This window comes from Homo sapiens, chromosome Y, assembly GCF_000001405.40.
Source record: "Homo sapiens chromosome Y, GRCh38.p14 Primary Assembly".
NCBI lineage: Eukaryota > Metazoa > Chordata > Mammalia > Primates > Hominidae > Homo > Homo sapiens.
The window spans coordinates 14,610,839-14,632,731 of record NC_000024.10 but is presented as its reverse complement, the minus strand read 5'-3'; the positions used below and the strand labels follow the sequence as shown (position 1 = coordinate 14,632,731).

General features: G+C 40.6%; 1 protein-coding gene across 25 annotated transcripts in view; it reads right to left on the bottom strand.

Moving 5' to 3' along the window:
* Positions 1–21,893, bottom strand: part of NLGN4Y (neuroligin 4 Y-linked) — a 323,039-nt gene that overhangs the window by 212,923 nt on the left and 88,223 nt on the right. For 22 of the 25 annotated variants that reach the window (NM_001394830.1, NM_001365586.1, NM_001365591.1 and 19 more), the window contains one exon: positions 10,141–10,723. The exons of 1 other annotated variant lie outside the window; for it this stretch is intronic. In NM_001394830.1, the coding sequence (NP_001381759.1) occupies positions 10,141–10,612 (472 nt within the window). In that variant the 5' untranslated portion in view covers positions 10,613–10,723. Of the gene's footprint in view, positions 1–10,140; positions 10,724–21,893 lie in introns of those variants that run through there. 2 more of the 25 variants (NM_014893.5, NM_001164238.1) reach the window with 1 other exon arrangement.

The window sequence follows — 21,893 nt, the reverse complement described above, 5'->3', positions numbered from 1 at the left end:
TTCATAATTATCTTTACTGGCAAGCTATGTCTACACAATGTCAAACATCAAACTGACAGATGAAAACTGGAGTAATTTAATAATTGTCACCTAGTTGCATGTCGATGTTGATTGGTTAAAACATCGGTCTCACTCTGTTAACATAGTTTTCAATTTTCACCTAGATTTTGTGATTACATGCATACAATTGGACTTTGTGTGTCTAGACAACAAGAAAATGAGAATTAATTTCTCTTTAATATCACACACAAAGAGTAGTGTTATTGCCACTTGATAGTTTAAGGGCATTTTCCAAAATGTTATTCTAATCCTTTCATGGTGAATAATTTATCTAATTCACATATGCTCAAAATCCATTTGACAACAGGAGCTCAAAAAGACTAAAATCAGGAATAAAGCAGAATGATAACAGTCAGCTCTTTTAAAAAGTGTTACTTTTCCTGAAATTCCCATTTGTTAAAACCATACTAGAAACCACCAGAAATAATGGGCTGTTGGTCTTACCTCTTCAGCTTACCCCTCCACTACAACAGTAAACAGCTATGTCACAGATGATCAGCATTTATTATGCCTGGATTAATACACATACCAGACCCACTATGCACATGCAATTTTGCTGAAATTGTCAAGTTCTGTTTTCTATTATTACTGATATTGCACTAACATCAGATTACAGGGTGCTTGTATGTGCTGGATACTAAGCATTTTATATGGATTATAACCTTAAACCTCTCAGCTACCTCTATTTTAGACATAAGGGCACTGTGTCCCATGAAAGCTGAGTCACTTGCCCATAATGATCTGCTAAGGGGATAAACTGGCATTCCAACTCCAGCAAACAAGTTTTGGCTGGAGGAGTAAACAAGGCGTACATTCAAAAGGTGAGTCACTTTGCCCAGCAGAGACCACAGGTTAAGTTGTAGCTGGAAGGAATGGAGAGCTCAGAAGATTTTGTCAGCAGTGTTTGTAAGTAGGAAAATAAGAAATGTAAAGGTGCAGCCACCATCACAAGTGAAACTCTATGGAGGCAGATGATGAAAGAACCATTTGGGTATTTTGTTATAAGTCATTCAAAGCCATCATCTCTGGAAATCTGTCATAGCTGTCTGAAAAAAAATTTAAATGACCCTTTATTACTTTCCTGTGTCAAAATAGTGTATCTGTGGAATATGCTGTTTAGGACAATTTGCCTTGGGGCTATATTAACCTAATGCAAAATGTCAAATTTGCAGAATGTCCCTGAGCATGGTGGCTTATGTCTGTAATCCCAGAATTCTGGAGCCTGAGATGGGAGGATCACTTGAGGCTAGGAGTTCCAGACCAGCCTGGAAGGCTACAACTCTTTAAAAAAATTTAAAAACTAGCCAGTCATGGTGGCTGAAAATTGTAATGTAAATCTAATAGGGGATTTTTTTTTCATTGTTTCTTTGTGGATCACTTGAGGTCAGCAGTTTGAGACCAGCCTGACTAACATGGTGAAACCTCATCTCTACAAAAATTAGCTGGGCATGGTGGCACATGCCTGTAATCCCAGCAACTCAGGAGGCTGAGGCAGGAGAATCACTTCAACCTGGGAGGCAGAGGTTGCTGTGAGTGGAGATCACACCACTGTACCCCAACCTGGGCAATAAGAGCAAAACTCCTTCTTGAAAAAAAAATATATATATCTGCTACCATTTTCTAATTTGCAGGAACCTGGACATGCTTCTTCTCTGAAGCTTAATACAGTATCAGCCTGTAGTCCCAGACACTCATGAGGCTGAGGTGGTAGAATCACTTGTGCCCAGGAATTTGAGGATGCAGTGAGCTTCTGTGCCACTGCACTAGAGCCTGGGTAACAGTGCAAGATCCCGCTCAGGGACAGGGTAACTCTCACTCAAAGTTTAGAAGAGAAATTTTTTAAAAATCTGAAAAATATCTGCCCTAAAAGAGTCATCTGTATTGTCTCCTCGACATTCTTGAGGAAGACAGAAAGCTCCAAGTGCCCAAGAGTGTTTTCAACTAGAAATTATTGGAAGTAGAATCCCAGAACGGACTTGGGGTCAGAAGGCTCAAAACCTAATGACTTCAGTGACTCTGAACTTCGTTTTCAGAGTAATACTTCATTATGAATTTCAAATCATATTAAAGGGTGATAAAACTCTTCCTTAGTTTTCTATTACCACTATCACAAATCTCCACAAATTTAGTAAGCTTGGAACAACAAACATTTATTCTTTTACAGTTTCTTCAGAGTTTCTTCTATGGGGCTAGGGTTTCTTCCAGAGGTAAAGTTTCTTCCAAGAGACAGTTTCTTCCATGGGGATAGAATTGAGGTGTCAGCAGGGCTGTTGGGCTCCTTTCTGGAAGCGCTAAGGAAGAATCAGTTTCCCTGCCTCTCTAGCTTCCAAACGCTGCTGCCTACATTCCTTTCTCCTGGCTCTCTCATACTCAAAGCCAGCAATGTCCAGGTATCTCTTTTACATGCTGCTTTACTCCAACTCTGATCTCCTCTTGAGCCTTCTGCATCCACATTGGAGGGCTTCTGTTAATATACCGTGCTCAGTTATGTAACTGAGGATAATTCTCTCTATTGGAAGGTCTGCTGGTTAGCAAACATAATTCCGTCTACAACCTTAATTCCCCTTTGCCATTTGAAGTCAATACTTAAGGCAGAGTATTGAAGAAGTCAGGTGCCATGCCTAGCAACCTATTCCGAGGTTCCAGCAATGACAGGTGAAGGGAGGAGGAAGGCCATGCACATCTCTCAAGGACCATGATTCTTCTGCCTACAAGTACCTATCACTCAAAATTAGAAATGCTTGTAAACTTGAAATCTCAGCCTCTAAAGCTTGCCTGGCATATAACTGCTCCTCAAAAATATTTTGGACAGTGAAGTGAAGCAGTGCCTGCTCATTCCAGACACCTTGTGGTAAGAACTGTCCTTCTCCCCCTGCCAACTGTTATACCCAGGAGCAGCCCAGTTTTATCACTTCTTACTATTGCGTCAACTGAGCCAATTAAAACTCTGCCCAGGGATTTTTAGTATGGAATTATGGAACTTTGTCCTTCACTGGTGGTACTGAGAAAAACAAAATGCATGTAGTGAAAACTGCAGAGAACCCTCTCACTCACCACGTAAAGCAAGTCTATTTCCAGAAAGAAGCAAAGAACCAGACATAAGATTGGTGATGTCCTTTAACTCATTTCTTCCAGGTGCCTCTAAAGTCTAGCTGCATATCTGCCCTTCTCCCAATCTGATTTCTCGACTTTTGCAGTAAATTTGGATATCTCACCACCCTTCTAATAAATTTCAATTTTTCCCTCAATGCCAGATTGAGGCTAGGTTATTTTCTACCAGCTGGACATAGTCCAACACCCTTTCACTAACGCAGAATGCCAGAAAAGTTTGTACGACTTCCTGAAAAGATGGGAGATATTCAAGGATGAAAACCGTGCTATAAATTATATCTTGAATTACATCCAGTGCTGTCTACAAGGGAAGCGAATGCATTTTTTTGTAAAAACACTAGCAAAGCCAGTTGACTTTCTAGCTTCTTTCCCTGTCGTTCATCTGCCACCCTTTCATCTTAGGTAGCTTGTCTACCCCACAAAGTGCCATGGTGAGCAGCTATGGATAACATAAAAACATTTATGGTCCCAGTCCAATGGCTTATGCCAGTAGTTCCAGCATTTTGGCAGGCCGAGGTGGGAGAGCACTTGAGCCCAAGACCAGCCAGAGCAACAATTTGTATAAATTTTTTATTTATACAAAATAAAAAATCAAAATATTAGCCAGGTGTGGTGGAGTGCACCTGTAGTCCCAGCTACTCAGAAATCTGAGATGAAAGAATTCTTTGAACCCAGAAAGTCGAGGCTGCAGTGAGCTACGATTGCACCACTGCACTTCAGCCTGGGTGACAGAGCAAGACCCTGTCTCTAAATAAAAAAAAATAAGAATAAAAATAAAATAACTTTTATTATATGGCACTGACAGAAAGAGCACGTGGTAAAGCAGAGCTTCTGTTACCATGCCACACTTAACACCCAAGTAGTAACAACAGCAACGATTGGCGCCAAGCTGCTTAACATAGATTTGTGTGTTCAAAAGTTCCAGTCAACAGATGCTTAATAGATGAATCCCTTCTATAGCCCAAATATTCTTCAGGACACAGCTCAACCATTTATAGATTCCATCAAGATTTCCTCAAAACATAACTTGTCCCTGAGCTGTCACAGAACTTTCTTTGTTCCTTCACTAGGATGCTGTGGCTTATCATCTACCTCTACGTTTACTAACTGTCCAAATTTCTACAGGTCAATGTCCATGTCACGTCTGTTTATATTTCATCATAAAGCTCCAAGCTTCACCGAATAGGTCTTCAATCACTAATCGTGGCATGTTTACTTAAGTAATAGAATTCAAAGTCGCAGGTTTCATCTTGGGGAAAAAAGATGATAGGGACACCTTGCATTCAATTATCTGCTCTTTTTTAAATAGCTTCCTTTTTCGATTGTATTGCTAGCAAAACAAACAAACAAACAAAAACAGAATTTCACTTCTCTAGAAATCACAATGGCATTTGCTGTTATCCTACAATGAAAAGACAATGATAGTGACTTTCCTTCTTTTCTGTTTTCTTTTTTTGAGACAGTGTCTCACTATGTCACGAAGGCTGGAGTGCAGTGGTGTAATCTTGGGTCACTGCAACCTCCCTCTGCCTCTCAGGTTCAAGCAATTCCGCTGTCTCAGCCTCCTGAGGCCAGGCTGATCAGAAACTCCTGACCTTAAGTGATCCACTCACCTCCGCCTACTAAAGATTAGAGGTATGAGCCACCGCACCTGGGCAATAATGACTTCCATTTATATTTTTTCTTTATATTTCCCAGGGTTTTCAGTCCCATTGAGAGGTGACAACGTGCTAGCAGCCCTCCCTCGCACCTCCTAGGCCTCGGCGTCCATTCCAGCTGCGCTTGAGGAGCCCTTCAGCCCACACCACACTATGAAAGCCCCTCTCTGGACTGGCCCAGGCGGGAGCCCGCTCACTCTGCTTGCGGTGAGGCGTGGAAGGAGAGGTCAAGAGGTGTGGGCAGGAACTGGGCTGTGCGCGGCGCTTGCGGGCCAGCGCGAGTTCTGGGTGGGCCCGGGCTCGGCGGGCCCCCACTCCGCGGGCAGCACTCGGAGTGGCAGGCCAGGGCAGAAAGGGGCTTAGCACTCGGGCCAGGAGCAGCGGAGGTTGCGCTGGGTCCCCCAGCACTGCCGGCCCGCCCGCTTGGAGCTCCAATTATCCCTAGGCCTCAGCCACCTCCCTGTGGGACAGGGCTCAGGATCTGCAGCCCGCCATGCCCTAGCCCCCCCAACGGTGGGCTCCTGCGCAGCCCCAGCCTCCCCAACGGGCACCGCCCCCTGCTCTGCAGGGCCCACTCCCATTGACAGCCCAAGGGCTGAGGAGTGCAGGCGCGGGGCACGGGACTGGCAGGCCCCAGCGCGGGATCCACTAGGTAAAGCCAGCTGGGCTCCTGAGTCGGCTGGGGAATTGCAGAACTTTTTTTTTTTTTTTTTCTTAAGATTGAGCCTTGCTCTCTATCACCCAAGCTGGAGTGCTGTGGCGAGATCTCGGCTTACTGCAAACTCAGCCTCCTAGGTTAACACCATTCTCCTGCCTCAGCCTCCCGAGTAGCTGGGACTACAGGCGCGTGCCACCATACCCGGCTAATTTTTTTGTATTTTTAGTAGAAACGGGGTTTCAATGTGTTGGCCAGGATGGTCTCCTCTCCTGACCTCGTGATCCGCCCACCTCGCTTCCCAAAGTGCTGGGATCACAGGCTGAGACACCAGGCTGACTGGGAATTGGAGAACTTTTACGTCTAGCTGGAGGATTGTATGTGCAGCAATCGGCACTCTATATCTAGCTAATCTGGTGGGGACTTGGAGAACTTTTATGCCTAGCTAGAGGATTGTAAATGCACCAATCAGCACTCTGTGTCTAGCTCAGGGATTGTACATGCACCACTCTGTCAAAATGGACCAATCAGCTCTCTGTAAAATGGACCAATCAGCAGAATGTGGGTGGGGCCAGATAAGGGAATGGAAGCAGGCTGCCCAAAGCACACAGCGCCAATCTGCTGGTGTCCTTTTCCACACGGTGGAAGGTCGTTTTGCTGTTTGCAATAAATCTTGCTGCTGCTCACTTTTTGTGGGTCCCGCAGCTTTATGAGATGTAACACTCACCTTCACAAAGGTCTGCAGCTTCACTCCCGAGGTCAGCGAGACCACGAACTCACAGGAAGGAATGAAGAACTGCAGACGCGCTGCCTTTAAGAGTTGTGACACTCACTGGGAAGGTCTGCAGCTTCACTGCTGAAGCCAGTGAGACCAGGAACCCACCGGGAGGGATGAACTACTCCGGAAGGAACCAACAACTCCAGACGCGCTGCCTCTAAGAGCTGTAACACTCACCACGAAGGTCTGCAGCTTCATTCCTGAAGTCAGCAAGACCACGAACCCACCAGAAGGAAGAAATTCCAGACACATCTGAGTATCTGAAGGAACAAACTCTGGACACACCATCTTTAAGAGTTGTAACACTCACCGCGAGGGTCGGCAGCTTCATTCGTGAAGTCAGTGAGACCAAGAACCCACCAATTCCGGACACACCTTTATGAAGAATGGAAGGGCTTTTTGCCCTGAAATCATTCAAGAATAAGACCTTAAGATGTATGTCCAAGGATACAGAGAGAAAGCACAGGTGTAAATCACTCCGGAAGTGGTTCCTTGGCTCTGTCCATTCCCCAAGACACCCTGGACTCAACTTACGGCTTTTTCTCTTCCAAGCTTTATATTTAATACAATATCTTGTGTGAGCAACTACTTCAAAATGTGTCTTTTATTTTTCCGTTACTTTTTAACCTCACTTCAATACCAAGGGTTCTCATTAAAAACCTGAAGCGTTTCCATAGCTTGTCTTTCTGTGTTCAGTCTCCTTGGTGACCAAGAGAAGTCTCAAATTGTAGTGCCATGCTCTCATGTATGAACTGACATGAACTTAGTATGTGAGATTGGAACTTCTCAGCTTGACTTTCATCAGTTTTGTTTAATCAAGCTACCAAGCCATATTCTGCACTGCTTCTTCAAAATAGTCACTCAGTTACCCCCTCTTTTCCTCTGGCTCTTTCTCTCTGACACATGTAGACACAAACTCTCAAACACACACACACATACACACACACCATGCGGATGCGGTCTCCAACTCTTCCTTGTGAGCAATATCCCATGTGTCCTACTAGAGCTTCTGACTGGCTTTGATTTTGACCTTACTTGAGCACCTATCAAAATGTTAAATATGCAATTTAAGTTAATTAACCTGTCATCTAGACAATAAAGAAATTTATAATATATAAAATCTAAATAAATTTGTATGGCATAGCTAATTACAAATATAGAAATTTGTAATTAGGTATAAAGACTCAAGACTAAGCTTAGTAGATCATGATGACAATTTGAACGAAAAGACTCAACTTCAGCAAGATGTGATTTATTTGAAGGGAATTATAAAAAATACTGCTTTCTACCGAAAAACAATTTATGTTTCATGAAACTATTGTACTACAAAGAAATGTCCAACACTTCTCATCCAAGTTATTTCTTAAATTTAAGAATAAGTACTTAACTGAAATAAAGTCTGTTTTTGCATTTTTAATAAATGTACACATTTTATGAAATTAAGAATGTGAAAGTTTTAGCAAATATGATCAAGGCAGAAAGACAAAGCTAAACAAAAAAAGTAGAGATTCTAAGTGGTCAGAGTAGAATTCTGAATTCCAGATAATAATATTTCTATCCTGCTAAACAAAAGCACTGATATGAATTCAGATACTGCCTAAGAGAAGGCCTTTGGAGAGAATCAGCGTGATGCCAACATTTCAGTAGGTTGTTATGAATGCAGAGTTCATTCACTTAGTGAATGAACAATAATTAAATATCTAAGTCTTTGTATTGCCTATCGAGTTGATAGAGATACAAAAACAACCGAGGAAACAAACAAAAAACCCTCCTAACTCGATAGTCTGTGACTTGTGGTTTGTGTAAACATGCAGGGCTGTAGCTTTGAACTCTCACAAGCAAAATTTTAAAGTTTACACATTGTGGGGAGATTTATTCTACCTTTTCAGTCACTATTAAATTTCTGATTCCCTTTTCAAGATCGTATGCGCATATTGCTTCAAAAAGACTAAAGAATAGAAGTGGAACTGGGTTTATTATGAAATTTGGATTACTTTTTCACTGAATAGCATTTTTCACAGAGTTATACTCCCCAAATTACAATTCAATACTGAATCACAATGAAACGTCCACCCTGTTTGTGGTCTCCATCCACACAATTGTACCTACAGGGCTCTGCTGTCATGGAAGCTATTGATTTTTTTCATGGGTGGTCTCATTCCATCCAACATCCTATATGAGGAGGCATCCTATTTGAAGTGCATTCATTGTTGCCAAGGCTAGCTCTATAAAATCACCAGGTCCTAGACTCTAGCATATCCAATGTATTATAAAAGCAATTGTAATACTTTGTCCTGTTTGGGGTTTTTCTCTGAATTTTTGTATTCCATTCTTTTTACTTTTGGTTTGAATAGTTCCTTTATGAGAAAGATCTCAACCCAGGTGGCTGCTCAAATGAGAACCCTAATAGATTTTGACAGCTCTTTCTCATCACACACATGCACAAAGGGGACTATTAGGCACAGAGACAGCACAGAACACCCCATGGAAGTACAGCATCCAAACGTCAGTTTGACTCCTTCAGTCACATTCAGACCTGGATTTTATGAGATGATTGGGAGATCTGTCACCCTAATGACAAGGGCAATATTCTAGAAACCACTAATATGATGAAGCAGGGTCCTTTACTTTTTTACTCTGAACTGTTCCTTGTAATCTCAATGGCAATTTGTAATCTCAATGGCACACAACCCTGGTCTAGTTTTTAATGACGCTCTACTTAGACTAACTAGCAATTACCTGGAGAGAGAGTAATCTGACAGATGCAATATAATTTTGGAGATCAATGAATTAATGTAATTGTTTATTTAATACTTTCAGCCAAATTTTACTGAAAAATATTTTCCAGGTATTAAAGTGTAAAGAACAATGAGAAGAAAAAAATTCTCCATAAAAGAAATTTATCACATTCTCCACGAAGAGCTTTATGCAAAAGACAAGCTCTAGTTTCTACATTAGATATGTCTATTATTCTCACAAATTATTTCCTTTCTTTCCAGGTATATTTTGTTCTCTGTTGTCCTTTCTCCTCATCTAAAAATGGCATATGGAAATGCTAACCGGGAAATATGATACCACTGTGGCATAACTTTGGTTATTCTTCGAGGAAATCTGAATTTGAAATCTATACAGACATAAAACTATTCATGTTTTACTAACATTAGGTTAATATATTAAATGTTTTTGTGTTTACAGACTTTCATTGGTGTTTTATAGAAAAAAGAGGAAATTTTTAAAAATATAAACACATCACGTCTAATGTAGCTAGAATCATCTGACTATATTTTGTCATTTGATCGTAGTGGATCTTGGAAGAAAACAAAGTCCAAATTTACATTAAGAAAATGGATTCTAAACAATGAAATCCTATCATTGTATGAACTACCTCATGCTTGTATATTAAAAAAAATAAAGTTTTTCTTTCAAAACTCAAAAAAGGTGCTAATATCTCAAGTCATTATGGCAGAAAGAACCATTTTCTCTATCTTTCAGTTTGTAAACTGGAGCATGGTAGTGTACTTAATTCTATTATTTTTTCTATGGATTCATTCCTTTACAGATGATTCAGGTATAACATGCAACACTATATGCTCATGTTAATTTTCATCTGCAAATAAAATTATAAAACATTAATTAGGTAATATATGAAAATAAAGTCATTATTTATAGTTTTGTCCATCCAGTAGATGTCCCAATATATACAAGTGGAACATGTGGTAAGCTGCTGCAAGAATTGCATTTGGAATATGAAAAATAAATTAAAATAAAATAAACAGGTTATAGAAAAGATCATGCAAGAGACATTATAAAACCCTCCTGGTAAATCTCTCCACACACTGCACAAGAAGTATTGTTTTCTGTTCCAGTGAGGTACTCACCATCTTCCATGGGCACATAGATGTTTAAGTAAAGGCAGTCTTCATTTTGATCTTGAACATAGGTCATCAAAGTATCCAAACTGGTGGTAAACCAGATGGGCAGCATGTCATGCAATAAGAATCTTTCATCCAGGTGCTGGGGGCACACAGCAGAAAACTGAGTAGCATTTCGGATGCCAGTCCAGGAGGATGGGGATTCTGGTGGCTGAAACCGCCTCTCTCCAGTTGGGGGTGAGGCATAGGGGACCCCTAAGTACTGCTCCACTGGACCCAAGATCTCACTGGGTAATGGTGTTCTTAGGCCCTGGATTTTACCATAATTTGTGTTGACAACTGGATACTGTGCTTGGCTGTCAATGAGGGTGAACTTGATGGCAAGAGCAGTTATCCACAGAAGAACATTGGAGTTTAACATGACACAGACAGAGGTGAACAACAAAGGGAGCCATAGCAGTCCCTGGGGACGCAACATGGTTCAAATCTGCATCCACATCCGAAGCTGTCTAAGTGAGGTGGCTCCAAGGAGACAAAGCTCAGAGGCGAGCCTGCAGAAAGATAAGTCTTTCGAAAACTCCAATGCAACCTAAAGGAGGGAGAAAGCAGACAAGAATAATGAAGCCACACAATGATCACCTAGAACACTGGCTGGCTCTTCCATGAAATCCACAACATCTCTCTATGAAATTCCTATTCATTTGTATATGAATGTGTATAGTGCCATCTCCACATAGTCGACAATAGCAAAAACATAACTTGTCTTTATTATTATTATTTTTTTTTACAGATGGTGTCTTGCCATATTGCCAAAGCTGCAGGGCAGTGGTGCTATCACAGCTCACTGCAGCCTCCAACTCCTGGGCTAAAGCCAACCTCCCACCTCAGCCTCCCGAGTAGCTGGGACTACAAGCATGCACCAGTATGTCCGGGCAATTCATTGGAATTTTTGTAGACATAGGTGTCTCTATGTTATCCAGGCTGGCCTAAAGAGATCCTCCTCAATCAAACTTTCAAAGTGTTGGGATAACACGCGTCAGTCACCATGCCTAGTGTCCATCACTTTTCTTAATCCTGGCTGTATATCCTATCACCAGAAACAATGCCTGACATTTAGAAAACACTCATCACATCTATGTTGAATGAACAAACCGACGTTCAAGAATTGTACAGGTTATGCAAGTGATAATAATGACACCTACCAATTTCACTATTGTTTACCAGACGGGTTATCAAAAGAACTTTTTCTCAAATGTTTAAGGCAATTTTCACTCTTTCCTAAGGGGATATGCATGCAGATCTAAAAGTTTTCCAGTAGGAGCAAAATAGAAGCATGCATCCAGGCCATCCTGTCATTGTGATGTGGATATTTATCAGGCCACAAGGGGAAAATCATCAAATGAAAAGAGTGTAGACTTTGGACACGAATTTTCCTTGTTCTACTCAAGTGCACATATATATTTAGGCTACATACTTCACTGTTCTGAATCTCAGTTTCTTGTAAAAAAAAAAAAAACTGTACAAGATGGTGCATTTCAAGTACATGCTTCAGTGCTGGTCTCTTGAAGACTTCTTTCATAACTAAAAGTGTTGATGCAATTATCCTGACTTTGCAGTAAGCTGCTGCATGCCTGAGAGGGTATCCTCTTCACCCTGTATCCCATTTAAAAATCTAAGGCTACATTTGAGTTACTTTCCCATTAAGACTGGAGTCAACTTTTAAAGGGTCACCACCTCAATTGGTCCCTACAAGGATAATATGACTATCCCTAGGGAAATCGCTGCTCCTGTGACAATAAAAGAATGTTGTGCAGCAATGGACAGTATGTCAAATGATCCTCTAGGGACAGAAAACGTTTCACTAGGTGTCACAAGGAGGGTGCATTTAGAGTGTTCTTCATCTCAAAGTATGCAAATGTGTTTCTGAGGAATTTGTGGGTTACTCAGAGCATTTGCATCAGAAAATAGTTATCCATTTCATTTAAGTAATCAATTGAACAAAATACATCACATGGCTTTTTCTTTTTAATAAAACATATTGGAACTGGATCTATCACAGAACAATAATACCTACTGGGGGGAAATTCCATAGTACATGACATCCTGGGAAAAGTTCAACAGAGTTGGATGAAAATGCACTGAAAATCTGGATTGTAACTTTGAAAGTGACAAATAGCATCTCATCAAATGGCTGATTTAGGTGTTTGCTACTAACTCTGAATTGTACTGTAGACAACATTCGGATGTCTGCCATGCAGCAATCCCATTTCTGAATAATTAAGAGACAGACAAGAAAAACAAAGAGTGATGTCGTGTTTGGTTGCTTCTTTTTTTAACCAGAAGATTTTTAACTAGAGGTAGCTGTTACTTTTGGAGCCTTCCCCAAGAGAATAGGTGAGACCATCACCTTTTTTATAACTTTTATTTTGGCTTCAGGGGTAGGTGTGCAAGTTTGCCATACAGGTAAACTTATGTCACAGGCATTAGTTGTACTGATTATTTCATCACCCAGATACAAGGCCTCATTCCCAATAAATATTTTTCCTAATCTTCTACCTCCTACCACTGCCCACCCTCCAATATGCTCCTTTTTCTATTGTTTCCTTCTTTGTGTTCGTAAGTTCTCATTTCTAGCTCCAACTTATAAGAGAGAATATGAAGTATGTGGTTTACTGTTTCTGCATTAATTTGCTAAGGATAATAGCCTCGAGTTCCATCCATATTCCTTCAAAGGACATAATCTCATTCTTTTATTATGACTACATACTATTCCATGGTACATATGAACCACATTTTCTTTATCCAGTCTGCCGCTGATGGGCATTTAGGTTGATTCCATGTCTTTGCTATTGTGAACAATGAAGCCATCAACTTGTAATTCAGATAAATCTGTATCCTGGGAAGCTATCTCTGTGAACTGAGGGAAGCAAGTCAATCTATGCAGACTACTAAAAGGGTAAACTAGTGTGTCCCACCTGCTTCATTAAATTGTGCAGAGCAGGACAGGAGCATACACAGGCAAAGGCTGAAGAGAACAGAAGATGTCCAGTCAACGTAGACAACATGCTGACATGTTCGCTACAGTCCTGCAAGAAAGACTTCTGGGTACAGGGACACAAGGTGCTATTAGCTCACTGTTAGTACTAAGTAGGCTGGCAGCAGCTCATTCAAATTCATTAGGCATCACTTTACCAATTTACTATTTGGAATTTCACATACTACCTAATTTAATCCCATGTAGCTGTAAAGAATTTGGTATTACACACTATCCCAGGTTGGGATTAAATGAGATAGTATGTAACCTCAAAGTATTGAACAGTTGCTGAAACAGACAGCTCAAGTGGAATTCAGTGGGTAGATTTCTTCCCAGGTTTATAATGTCAGTTCCATGAGGAATTCCAGCCCATGCCTTAAATTCTCAAACTCAATGTGAGTGAGACTGTGACTCACATATTGGTTATGACTGACCCACCTGTATGATCAAATCCTTCCTCTATCTAAATCTATAACCCACAAGGTCCTGATGGGCAGTGAACAATTATAAACTAGCAGCAGACAAAGAAGACAAGCCCAAGGGCACCTGTACGCTTCCTAAGTCTAAGTTAGGCATTCACAATACCCACAGGTTGAGAGCTATCTTTTTTTATTCCTTCATTTTTTGAAATTTAGCAAATTTGCAAAAAATTGCTATAGTCTGAAGCTCAGCATTGCCGCATCTCAGCACAATGATAATGATTTGTGAACCATATGATTCTTTGTTGTAGAGATGCCGCCTCTAAACTGTATGGTATTTTGCAGCATTCCCAGTTTCAACTCACTAGATGATGGTGGCACCTCCTACCCAGTTTTAACTGTGGAAAATGTCTCCAGACAGTGCTGAATGACCCCTGGTGGCCAAAACCACCCACAAGTGAGAGTTACTTGTCTAAGCCATCAAGCATAAAATGATAGTGGCTGTGCAAATGATTAAGTATCTGTAGGTACATTTAGAGAATATAATTTAGTGCTGCCATGTATGTGTGTATGTGTGTGAGTGTGTGTGAAAATATACTAACATATAAATTAGGGAGGATCTGGCAGGATGGCCACATATGAACAGCTCTATTCTGCAGCTTCTAGTGAGACAAATCAGAAGGCAGGTGATTTCTGCATTTCCAACTGAGGTACTCAGTTCATCTCATTGGAACTGGTTAGAGAGTGGATGTGTCCCATGGAGGGTGAGCAGAAGTAGGATGGGGCACTGACTCACCTGGGAAGTGCACGGCGACAGGTACCTTCCTCCCCTAGCAAATGGAAACCATGAGGGACTGTGACATAGCCCAGATACTATGTTTTTCCCACAGTTTTTACAACCTGTAGACCGGGAGATTCCCTAAGGTGCCTATACCACCAAGGCCCTTGTTTTCAAGCACGAAACTGGGCGATCATTTGGGCCAACACTGAGCTAGCTGCAGGAGTTTTTTTTTTTTTTTTTCATAATCCAGTGAGACAGAACCTTTCATTCCCCTGGAATGGGGGCTGAAGCCAGGAAGCCAAGTGGTCTTGTTCAGCAGATTCCACCCTCATGGAGCCCAGCAAGCTAAGATCCAATGTCTTGAAATTCTCCCTGGCAGCACACTACTCTGAAGTCCACCTGAGACACTCAAGCTTGGTAGGGGGAGGGTTGTCTGCCATTACTGAGGCTCCAGTAGGAGGTTTTCCCCTCACAGATTAAAAAAAAGCAGCCCGAAATTTCATCAGAACCCACCAGAGTGCAGCAAAGCATCTGTGGCCAGACTGCCTCTCTAGATTGTTCCTCACTGGCAGGGCAACTCTGAAAGAAAGGCAGCAGCACCAGTCAGGGACTTATAGAAAAAAACATCCATCTCTCTGAAACAGAGCACCTAGGGAAAGGGACAGCTTTGGGCATAGCTTCAGCAGAATTAAACTGCTCTGAGGAGAGCAGTGGATCTCCAGGCACAGCATTTGAGCTATGCTAAGGAAGAGACTGCCTTCTCAAGTGGGTCCCTGACCCCCTTGCCTCCTGACTGGGAGACACCTCCCAGGATGGGTCGACAGACACTTTATACAGAAGAGCTCCAACTGGCATCTGGCTTGTGCCCCTCTGAAACAAAGCTTCCAGAGGAAGAATCAGGCAGAATTATTTGCTGTTCTGCAGCCTCTCCTAGTGATACTCAGGCACACAGCGTCTGGAGTGGATCCAGGAGACCCATCTCACGTGCAAAGACTCAAATAGACTCAAAATAAAAAGATGGAGGAAGATCTACCAAGCAAATAGAAAGCAAAAAAAAAAAAAAAAAAAAAACGTAAAGAAGAAGAAGAAAAAAGCAGGGGTTGCAATCCTAGTCTATGATAAAACAGACTTGAAACCAACAAAGATCAAAAGAGACAAAGAAGGCCATTATATAATGGTAAAGGGATCAATTCAACAAGAAGAGCTAACTATCGTAAATATATATACACCCAATACAAGAGCACCCAGATTCGTAAAGCAAGTCCTTAGAGACCTACAAAGAGACTTAGACTCCCACACAATGTTAATGGGAGACTTTAACACCCCACTGTCAATATTAGACAGATCAATGAAACAGGAGGTTAACAAGGATATCCAGGAACCGAACTCAGCTCTGCAAAAACCAGACCTAATAGACATCTACAGAACTCTACACTCCAAATCAACAAAATGTCTATTCTTCTCAGCACCACATCATACTTATTCTAAAATTCACCACATAATTGGAAGTACAGCACTCCTCAGCAAATGCAGAACAACAGAAATCACAATAAACTGTTTCTCATACCACATTGCAATCAAATTAGAACTCAGGATTAAGAAACTCACTTGAAACTGCACAACTATTTGGGAATTGAACAACTTGCTCCTGAATGACTACTGGGTAAATAATGAAATGAAGGCAGAAATAAGGATGTTATTTGAAACTAGTGAGAACAAAGACACAATGTACCAGAATCTGTGGGAAACATTTAAAATGGTGTGTAGAGGGAAATTTATAGCACTAAATGCCCACAAGGGAAAGCAGGAAAGATCTAAAATCGACACCCTAACATCAGAATTAAAAGAACTAGAGAAGCAAGAACAAATTCAAAAGCTAGCAGAAGGCAAGAAATAACTAAGATCCAAGCAGAATTGAAAGAGATAAAGACACAAAAAATCCTTCAAAAAATGAATGAATCCAGGAACTGGTTTTTTGAAAAGATCAACAAAATTGATAGACTGATAGCAAGACTAATAAAGAAAAAAAGAGAGAAGAATCAAATAGATGCAATAAAAAAAGATAAAAAGGACGTCACCACTGATCCCACAGAAATACAAACTACCATCAGAGAATACTGTAAACACCTCCACACAAATAAGTTAGAAAATCTAGAAGAAATAGATAAATTCCTGGACACATACACCCTCCCAAGACTAAACCAGGAAGAAATGGAATCTGAATAGACCAATAACAGGCTCTGAAATTGAGGCAACAATTAATAGCCTACCAACCAAAAAAAGTCCAGGACCAGACAGATTCACAGCTGAATTCTACCAGAGGTACAAAGAGAAGCTGGTACAATTCCTTCTGAAACTATTCCAATCAATAGAAAAAGAGGGAATTCTCCCTATCTTATTTTATGAGGCCAAGAACTTCCTGATAGCAAAGCCTGGCAGAGGCACAACAACAAAAAAGAGAATTTTAGACCAATATCCCTGATGAACTTTAATGTGAATATCCTCAGTAAAATACTGGCAAACTGAATCCAGCAGCACATCAAAAAGCTTATCCACCACAATCTAGTTGGCTTCATCCCTGGGATGTAAGGCTGGTTCAACATATACATTGAACGTCATCCATCACATAAACAGAACCGATGTCAAAAGCACATGATTATCTCAATAGATGCATAAAAGGCCTTTGACAAAATTCAACAGCCTTCAAGCTAAAAATTCTCAATAAGCTAGATATTGATGAAACATATCTCAAAATAATAACGAGGTATTGATGAAACATATCTCAAGATAATAAGAGCTATTTTTTTACAAACCCACAATCAATATCATACTGAATGGGCAAAAACTGGAAGCATTCCTTTGAAAACCAGCACAAACAAGGATGCCCTCTCTCACCACTCCTATTCAATATAGTGTTGGAAGTTCTGGCCAGGGCAATCAGGCAAGAGAGAGAAATAAAGGATATTCAATTAGGAAATGAGGAAGTCAAATTGTACCTGTTTGGAGATGACATGATCATATATTTAGAAAACCCCATTATCTCAAAGCCAAGTCTCCTTAAGCTGATAAGCAATTTCAGCAAAGTCTCAGGATACAAAATCAATTACATACACCATTCACAGACAAACAGAGAGCCAAATCATGCGTGAACTCCCATTCACAATTGCCACAAAAAGAATAAAATACCTAGGAATACAACTTAAAAGGGATGTGAAGGACCTGTTCAAGGAGAACTACAAACCACTGCTCAATGAAATAAAAGAGGACAAAGACAAATGGAAGAATATTCCATGCTCATGGATAGGAAGAATAAATATCATGAAAATGGCCATATTGCCGAAAGTAATTTATAGATTCAATGCCATCCCCATCAAGCTGCCAATGACTTTCTTCACAGAATTGGAAACAAAAAAACTGCTTTAAAGTACATATGAAACCAAAAAAGAGCCTGCATTGCCAAGACAATCCTAAGCAAAAAGAATGAAGGTGGAGGCATCACACTACCTGACTTCAAACTATACTACAATCCTACAGTAACCAAAATGGCATGGTACTGGTACAAAACAGATATATAGACCAATGGAACAGAACAGAGGCCTCAGAAATAACACACACATCTACAACCATCTAATGTTTGACAAACCTGACAAAAACAAGAAATGGGAAAAAGATTCCCTATTTAACAAACAGTGGTAGGAAAACTGGCTAGCCATATGTAGAAAGCTGAAACTGGATCCCTTCCTTACACCTTACACAAAAATTAATTCAAAATGGATTAAAGACTTAAATGTTAACCTAAAACCATAAAAATCCTAGAAGAATCCTAGACAATGCCATTGAGGACAAAGGCATGGGCAAGGACTTCACGACTAAAATACCAAAAGCAATGGCAACAAAACCCAAAATAGACAAATGGGATCTAATTAAACTAAAGAGCTTCTGCATGGCAAAAGAAACTACCACCACAGAGAACAGGCAACCTACAGAATGGGAGAAAATTGTTGCAATCTACCCATCTGACAAAGGGTTAATATCCAGAATCTACAAACAACTCAAAGTCAAATTTACAAGAAAAAGCAAACAACCCCAACAAAAAGTGGGCAAAGGATATGAACAGACACTTCTCAAAAGAATACATCTATATAGCAACAGGCACATGAAAAAATGCTCATCTTCACTGGTCATTAGAGAAACACAAATCAAAACCACAATGAGATACCATTCACACCAGTTAGAATGGCAGTCATTAAAACGTCAGTGAACAACAGATGCTGGAGAGGATGTGGAGTAATAGTAACATTTTACACTGTTGGTGGGAGCGTAAATTATTTCAACCATTGTGGAAGACAGTGTGATGATTCCTCAAAGATCAAGAACTAGATTTACCATTTGACCCAGCAATCCCATTACTAGGTATATACCCAAAGGATTATAAATCATGCTCCTATAAAGACACATGAACACATATGTTTATTGCAGCAGAATTCACAATAGCAAAGACTTGGAACCAACCCAAATGTCCATCAATGATAGACGGATTAAGAAAATGTGGGACTTATACACCATGGAATACTATGCAGCCATAAAAAAGGATGAGATCATGTCCTTTGCAGGGACGTAGATGAAGCTGGAAACCATCATCCTCAGTAAACTGTCACAAGAACAGAACACCAAACACCACATGTTCTCATTCATAGGTGGAAACTGAACAATGAGATCATTTGGGCACAGGGTGGGGAACGTCACACATGGAGGCCTGTCAGGCACTGAGGGGCTTGGGGAGGGATAGCATTAGGAGAAATACCTAATGTAAAGGATGAATTGATGGGTGCAGCAAGCCAATGTGGCACATATATACCCATGTATCAAACCTGCATGTTGTGCACATGTACCCTAGAACTTAAAGTAAAATAAATAAATAAATAAACAAACAAACAAACAAACAAACTGGGCAGCCATTTGGGCAGACACTGAGCTAGCAGCAGGAGTTTTTTTTGTTTTTGTTTTTGTTTTTGTTTCTTCCATGCCCCAGTTCTGCCTGGAACCGCAGTGAGACAGAACTGTTCTCTCCCCTAAAAAGGGGGCTGAGGTCAGGGAGCCAAGTTGTCTTGCTCAGCTGATCTCACCCTCTCGGAGCCCAGTAAGCTAAGATCCAATGGCTTGAAATTCTCACTGCTAGCACAGCAGTCTGAAGTTGACCTGGGACACTTGAATGTGGTGCAGGGAGGGGTGTCTGGCATCACTGAGGCTTCAGTAGGCAGTATTCCCCTCATAGTGTAAATAAGCCTCCGAGAAGTTCAAACCGGGTGGAACCCACCACAGCTCAGCAAAGCTGCTGTAGCCAGACTGGCTCTCTATACTCCTCTTCTCTGGGCAGGGCATCTCTGAAAGAAAGGCAGCAGCACCAGTTAGGGGCTTATAGATAAAATTCCCATCTCCCTGGGACACAGCACCTGGAGTAAGGGATGGCTATGGGTGCAGCTTCAGCAAACTTAAATGTGCCTACCTATGGCTTGAAAGAGAGCAGAAGATCTCCCAGCACAGAACTTGTGCTCTACTAAGGGACAGACTGCCTGCTCAAGTGGGTCCCTAACCCAGGTGCTTCCTGACTGAGAGACACCTCCCAGCTGGGTTCAATGGACACCTCATATAGGAGAGCTCTGGTTGACATCAGGTGGCTACCCCTCTGGGAAGAAGCTTCCAGAGGAAGGAGAAGACAGCAATCTTTGCTGTTCTGCAGCTTCTGCTGGTGATAGCCAGGAAAACAGGGTCTGGAGTGGACCTTCAATAAACTCCAGCTGACCTGCAGCAGAGCGGCCTGACTGTTAGAAAGAAAACAAACGAACAGAAAGCAATAACATCAACATCAACAAAAAAGACACCCATGCAAAAATCCCATCTGAGGGTCACCAACATCAAAGATCAAAGTTAGATAAATTCATGAAGATGAAAAATAAAACAGTTCAAAAATTCTGAAAATTCCAAAAACCAGAATCCCTCTTCTCTTCCAAAGGATCATCACTCCTCACCAGCAAGAGAACAAAACCGAACAGAGAATGAGTTTGACAAACTGACTGAAGTAGGCTTCAGATGGTGTGAAATAACAAACTCCTCTGAGCTAAGGGAGCATGTTCTAACCCCATGTAAGGAAGCTAAGAATCTTCATAAAAGGTTACAAGAACTTCTAGCTAGAATAACCAGTTTAGAGAAGAATATAAATGACATGATATAGCTGAAAAACAAAGCACGAGAACTTCCTGAGGCATACACAAGTACCAATAGCTGAATCGATCAAGGGAAAGAAAGTATATCAGAGATTGATGATCAACTTAATAAAATAAAATGTGAAGACAAGATTACAGAAAAAATGAATGAAAAGGAATTAACAAAGCCTCCAAGAAATACGGGACTATGTGAAAACATCAAACCTATGTTTGACTGGTGTACTTGAAAGTGAGTAGGAGAATGGAACCAGTTAGAAAACACACTTCAGGATATTATCCAGGAGAACTTGTCCAGCCTAGCAAGAAGTCCAACATTGAAATTCAGGAAATAAAGAAAACACCACAAAGATACTCCTTGAGAAGAGCAACTCCAAGACAAATAATAGTCAGATTCACCAAGGTTGAAACAAAGGAAAAAATGTTAACAGCATCCCGAGAGAAAGAGCAGGCTACCTACAAAAGAGAGCCTATCAAACTAACAGCAGATATCACTGCAGAAACCCTACAAGCCAGAAGAGAGTGCAGGCCAATATTCACCATTCTTAAAATAAATAAATAAATAAATAAATAAATAAATAAATAAACAAACAAACAAACAGAATTTCACATCCAGACAAACTAAGTTTCATAATTGAGGGAGAAATAAAATCCTTTACAGAAAAGCAAATGTTGAGGGATTTTCTGACCACCAGGACTGCCTTTAAGAGCTCCTGAAGGATGTACTAAATATGGGGCAAAAAAAAAAAAAGAAAAAAAAAAAGATATCAGCTACTGCAAAAACTACCAAAATACCACTGCAAAAACTCCCAAAATGTAAAGACTAATGACACTATAAAGAAACAGCATCAACTAATATGCAAGATAATCAGCTATCATCATAATGACAGGATCAAATTCACACATAACAAGATTAAAATTACATGTAAATGGGCTAAATGCCCCAATTAAAAGACACAGACTGGCAAATTGAATAATGGGTCAAGACCCTTTGGTGTATTGTATTTAGGAGACCAATCTGACAGGCAAAGTAAAACATAGGCTCAGAATAACAGAATGAAGGAATATTTACCAAGCAAACGGAAAGCAAAGAAAAGCAGGGGTAGTAATCCTAGCCTCTGATAAAACAGACTTTAAGACAACAGAGATCAAAAGAGACAAAGAAGGGCATCAAATAATGGTAAATGGATCAATGCAACAAGAAGAGCTAACTATCATAAATATATATGCACCCAATACAGGAGCACCCAGATTCATAAAACAAGTTCTTAGAGACCTACAAACACAATAATATTGTGTTTAAG